The sequence below is a fragment of the Homo sapiens genome, chromosome 1 (genome assembly GCF_000001405.40).
Source record: "Homo sapiens chromosome 1, GRCh38.p14 Primary Assembly".
NCBI classification, from domain to species: Eukaryota; Metazoa; Chordata; class Mammalia; order Primates; family Hominidae; genus Homo; species Homo sapiens.
This window is the reverse complement of record NC_000001.11, coordinates 32,673,516-32,679,551: the sequence shown is the minus strand read 5'-3', so window position 1 is coordinate 32,679,551 and position 6,036 is coordinate 32,673,516. Positions and strand designations below refer to the sequence as shown.

The 6,036-nt window shown below is 46.0% G+C and overlaps 1 protein-coding gene across 3 annotated transcripts in view; it reads right to left on the bottom strand.

The window, feature by feature from the left end:
- RBBP4 (RB binding protein 4, chromatin remodeling factor) overlaps positions 1–6,036 on the bottom strand; it is a 35,004-nt gene that overhangs the window by 6,660 nt on the left and 22,308 nt on the right. The window lies entirely within an intron of this gene.

The following is a 6,036-nucleotide window of genomic DNA, read 5'->3' as shown; positions in this document are numbered from 1 at the left end:
AGTAAATACTTTATAGCTTTTGGGCCACACAATCTGTGTTACAACTATTCAACTCTTGGATGAAAGTATCCGGAGACAACCTATAATGGGTAATGAAATATTAATTAGCATGATCATGTTCCAATAAAAATAAGCAGCTGATCCCCAGACGCCTGATTAGGACATTCCCACAAAACTGCAGTGTGGATACTATTTGTCTTGATAGCCAACATTCTTGAGTTCTTTAACCAGGCATTATTATTTTTCTTTCCTTTTGAGATGGAGCCTTGCTCTGTCTCCCAGGCTGGAGTGCAGTGGCACCATCTCGGCTCACTGCAACCTATGCCTCCCAGGTTCAAGCAATTCTCCTGCCTCAGCCTCCAGAGTAGCTAGGATTACAGGCACATGCCACTACGCCTGGCTAATTTTTGTATTTTTAATAGAGATGGGGTTTCACCATGTTGGCCAGGCTGGTCTCGAACTCCTGATCTCAGGTGATCTGCCCACCTCGGCCTCTCAAAGTGCTAGGATTATAGGAGTAAGCCATTGTGCCCAGCCTAACCAGACATTATTAATAATAGCCAAAAAGTAAAAACAACCCAAATATCCATCAACTACTAAAATGGATACACGGTATATCCAATCCATATGATGGAATATTATTTGGCATAAAAAAGCCAGTCAGGCCAGGTGTGGTGGCTCATACCTGTAATCCCAGCACTTGGGAGGCTGAGGCAGACAGATCACTTGAGGTCATGAGTTTGAGACTAGCCTGACCAACAAGGCGAAACTGCATCTCTACTACAAATACAAAAATCAGCCATGTGTGGGGGTGCACCCCTGTGGTCCCAGCTACTTGGGAGGCTGAGGCATAAGAATTGATTGAACCTGGGAGGTGGTGGTTGTAGTGAGCCAAGATTGCACCACTGCACTCCAGCCTGGGTGGCAAAGCAAGACTGTGTGCCAAAAAAAAAAAAAAAAAAAAAAAAAAAAAAAAAAAAAAAAGCTGTCACATACTTTAGGATTTTATTTATATAAGGTGTCCAGGCCAGGTGTGGTGGCACACGCCTGTAATCCCAGCATTTTGGGAGGCCAAGGCAGGCGTATCACCTGAGGTCAGGAGTTCGAGACCAGCCTGGCCAACATGGTGAAACGCTGTCTCTACTAAAAATATAAAAATTAGCCAGGCGTGGTGACAGGCGCCTGTAATCCCAGCTATTTGGGAGGCTAAGGCAGGAGAATCGCTTGAACCCAGGAGGCGGAGGTTGCAGTGAGCCAAGATCACACCACTGCACTCCAGCCTGGGGGGCAAGACTTCGTCTAAAAAAAACAGGGGTCCAAAACAGGCAAATCCATAGCTTGGTGGCTGCCTAGGGCTGGGGGACTATGAGAAAAATAGGAAATGATGGCTAATGGGTACAGGGTTTCTTTTTCAGATGATGAAAATGTTCTCAAATTGACTGTGGTTGATGGTTGCACAACTGTAAATACACTGAAGACTGCTGAACTGCACACTTAAAACTTCCAAAACAATATGTTCCGAATCTCTATATATTGAAGAGAAAAACTGTTCTTGTATAGAATAAACTCTACTTCTACTGCTTGACAGAATACCTGTATCCAACGGCATAATCTTAAAATACAGGAACCACTTTCACAGGAGCAAAATTTACTGCTCTTAGCACCTACCATGCACATATCACTATGATAGGTACTGCAGAGGACAGGATAGTCTTACCTTCAAAGAGCTTGTGATCTGACCCCAGAGAAAAGAATACATACAATTGTGTGATGCTTTCTGACGTTACTTCTAACACCAAATGTGGGGTACCCTTTCTTAGGACACCAACTGGGTGTACAACTCAATCCTATTCTGACACTATCTGAAGTTAGCTTTGGAGAAGACTGTCCTTACTTCAGAAGCCAGTTGCAATTCCCTGGTCCCAGGCTACCTGCACACTTCTATCCCACTTGACTACAAATTTCAGGGTTCCCACTACTGCCTCCTCAGGTCTGATAATTTGATGGAATGACTCACAGAACCCAAGAAAGCTTTTTACTATTACTGTTTTTTGTTTGTTTTTTGTTTTGTTTTTTTTTTTAAATAAAGGATACAACTGAGGAACCACATGGAAGAGATGCATACGGCAAGGTGGGGAGGGGCTGCAGAGTTTCCATCAAGTCTCTGGGCATGCTACCCACCCAGTATGTCGAGTTGTTCACCAATCCAGAAGCACATCAAATTAGGAGTTTTTATAGAGTTCAATCTCTGGCCCTGCAACCCCAAGGTTGGCAAGTGGGCCGACAAGTTTTAACCCTCAAATCAAGTGATTGGCCTTTCTGACTAAACCAACTATGAGGCTATCTAGGGGCCCCACCAAAATCACCTCACAGTAGAACAAACTCAGGTGTGGTCCAAAGTGGATCACTAGGAACGACAAAGACACTCCTAGCACTCTGCAAACTCCGAGTGTTTTTGGAGAGCTCTGTGCCAAGAACTGGGACAAAGACCAAATATTTACTTACTCTATTACAATGCTAAAAACACCAAATAAAGTAACAACTTGGAATGGAGGTGATGGCCTTGCAGGGATCTAGTTTAACCTTGAATTCTTCAGTATTTTTTTTTTGAGACAGGGTCTCGCTCTGTCACCCAGGCTGGAGTGCAGTGGCGCCATCTTAGCTCACTGCAACCTCTGCCTCCTGGGATCACGCTAGCCTCCCACTTCAGCCTCCCAAGGAACTGGGACTACAGGTACGTGCCATCACGCCCAGCTATTAAGTTTCTGTATTAATATTGAAGGGATTTATTACAAAGAGAGTGAGGTGAATTTTCTGTTTTCAAGTTACACATCTTTTTTGTAAAAAAATTATAATACAGAAAGGTCTAAAGAAACCAAGAACTAGGTACCAAGCACATTTTAGCAAACAGCTTTTCTTTTTCTTTTTTTTTTTTTTTTGAGATGGAGTTTTGCTCTTGTTGCCCATGTTCGAGTGCAATGGTGCGATCTTGGCTCACCGCAACTCCTCCGCCTCCTGGGTTCAAACAAGTCTCCTGCCTCAGCCTCCCAAGTAGCTGGGATTACAGGCGCCCGTCACCATGCCTGGCTAATTTTTGTATTTATTTTTTAGTAGAGATGGGGTTTCACTATGTTGACCAGGCTGGTCTCAAACTACTGACCTCAGGTGATCTGCCCACCTCGGCCTCCCAAAGTGTTGGAATTACAGGCGTGAGCCACCACACCTGGCCAGTAATCAGCTTTCTAAATATAGACTAGATACACAAAATTTTAATATGAGGAATACCATTATGCTATTCTTCAGTCTGCGCTTCCCCTTTAACAGCATGTCATGAATATCTTATAACCCTAACCGTACTTCTTTCTTTTCTTCCTTTAGAGACAGGGTCTCGCTATGTCATCTAGGCTGGAGTGCAGTGGTGTGATCACAGCCCACTGTAGCCTCAAACTCCTGGCCTCAAGGGATCCTTCTGTCACGGCCTCCCAAAGAGCAGGGACTAAAGGCACATGCCACCATGTCTCACAGCAGCCTCTACCCGCTGGATTCAAGGTATCCTCCTGCCTCGGCCTCCCAAGTAGCTGGGATCACAGGCACGTACCACCAAGCCTGGCTAATTTTTTTTTGGTAGAGACACGGTCTCACTTTATTGCCCAGGCTAGTCTAGAACTTCTGGGCTCAAGTGATCCTCCGGCTTTGGCCTCCCAAAGTATTTGGATTACAGGTGTGAGCCACTGAGCACAGCCCCTAATCATACTTTTTAAATTTATTTTTATTATTTTTTTTGAGACAGAGTCTCGCCCTGTCACCCAGGCTAGAGTGCAGTGGCACGATCTCGGCTCACTGCAAGTCCTGCCTCCCGGGTTCACGCCATTCTCCTGCCTCAGCCTCCCGAGTAGCTGGGACTACAGGCGCCCGCCACCACGCCCGGCTAATTTTTTGTATTTTTAGTAGAGTCGGGGTTTCACCATGTTAGCCAGGATGGTCTCAATCTCCTGATCTTGTGATCCACCCGCCTCGGCCTCCCAAAGTGCTGGGAGTACAGGCGTGAGCCACCGCACCTGGCCCATCCTTCTTTTTGATAAGTAATGTTACAAAGTATGAATGTTGTGATGGTATTTGGAGGTAAAAGAAAAAAAAAGTATGGATGTAGTACAATCTGTTAGTCTGGCAGGTCACAAACTTATTTTATTTCTGTCTTCAATTAATAGTGCTATTACGCCAGGCGCGGTGGCTCACGCCTGTAATTCCAGCACTTTGGGAGGCCGAGGCAGGCAGATCACCTGAGGTCAGGAGTTCGAGGCCAGCCTGACCAACATGGAGAAACCCAGTCTCTACTAAAAAAAATTACAAAAATTTAGCCAGGCGTGGTGGCGCATGCCTGTAATCTCAGCTACTCGGGAGGCTGAGGCAGGAGAATCGCTTGAACCCAGGAGGCGGAGGTTGCAGAGAGCCAAGATCGCACCATTGCACTCCAGGCTGGAAAATAAGAACAAAACTCCGTCTCAAAAATAAAAATGCCGGGCACGGTGGCTCACGTCTGTAATTCCAGTACTTTGGGAGGCCAAAGAGGGCGGATCATGAGGTCAGGAGATCGAGACCACCCTGACCAACATGGTGAAACCCCGTCTCTACTAAATAAAAAACAACAACAAAAAAACTAGCCGGGCATGGTGGTGCATGCCTGTAATCCTAGCTAATCAGCAGGCTGAGGCAGGAGAATTGCTTGAACCTGGGAGGCAGAGGTTGCAGTGAGCTGAGATTGCTCTACTGAACTCCAGCCTGGGTGAGGCAGTGAGACTCTGTCTCAGAAAAAAAAAAAATTAAAAAAAAAATAAAGAAATAAAAAGTAAGAAAGTACTGATGAAAACATCCTCCCTCTCCTCATGATGAGTCAAAAACTATTCCCTGGAACTTAATTCCTGGTACTAGATCTACTCTGAGAGACACCAAGTTTCTTCTGAATTCTTTTCCTTTACCAGACAACCACCAAGTTACGCACTTCTTTAAAAACAAAAAAAAGTGGGGGGCGGGTGGGCAGCCTCACACATGTACTCCCAGCACTCTGGGAGGTGGGCAAATCGCTTGAGCTCACAAGTTCAAGACCAGACTGGCCAACATGGCAAACCCCATCTCTACAAAAAATTTTAAAAATTAACCAGGGCTGGTGATGCACACCTGTGGTCCCAGTTACTAGGGAGGCTGAGGTAGGAGGATGTCTTGAGCCCGGGAATTGGAGGCTGCAGTGAGCTGTAATCGCACCACTGCACTGTAGCCTGAACAACAGAGCAAGAAACTGTCTTCCACCTCCAAATTGTCGCAAACTCCATACAACATAAAATTTATCAGCTTAGCCATTTTAAGTGTACAGTTCAGTGGCATTAAGTACACTCACACTGCATTAACCATAACCACCACCTATCTCCGGAATATATACATATATATATTTTAATTGAGACGGAGTCTCGCTCTGTCGCCCAGGCCAGAGTGCAGTGACGCAATCTTGGCTCAATGCAAGCTCCGCCTCCCGTGTTCACGCCATTTTCCTGCCTCAGCCTCCTGAGGAGCTGGGACTACAGGCGCCCGCCACCACGCCCGGCTAATTTTTTTTTGTATTTTTAGTACAGATGGGGTTTCACTGTGTTAGCCAGGATGGTCTCGATCTCCTGACCTCGTGATCCACCCGCCTCGGCCTCCCAGAGTACTGGGATTACAGGCGTGAGCCAACGTGCTCGGCCGAATATAACTATTTTAAAAATATTAATGTATGAGACACCACAGTTATTTTTATTAAATTGAAGTGCTTTGAAAATTTAAGAGGCCAGGCGCGGTGGCTCATGCCTGCAATCCCAGCACTCCGGGAGGTCGAGGTGGGCGGATCACAAGGTCAGGAGTTTGAGACCAGCCTGGCCAACATAGTGAAACCGTCTCTACTGAAAATACAAAAAAATTAGCCAGGCATGGTGGTACGCACCTATAGTCCCAGCTACTCAGAAGGCTGAGGCAGGAGAATCGATCGAACCTGGGAGGTGGAAGTTG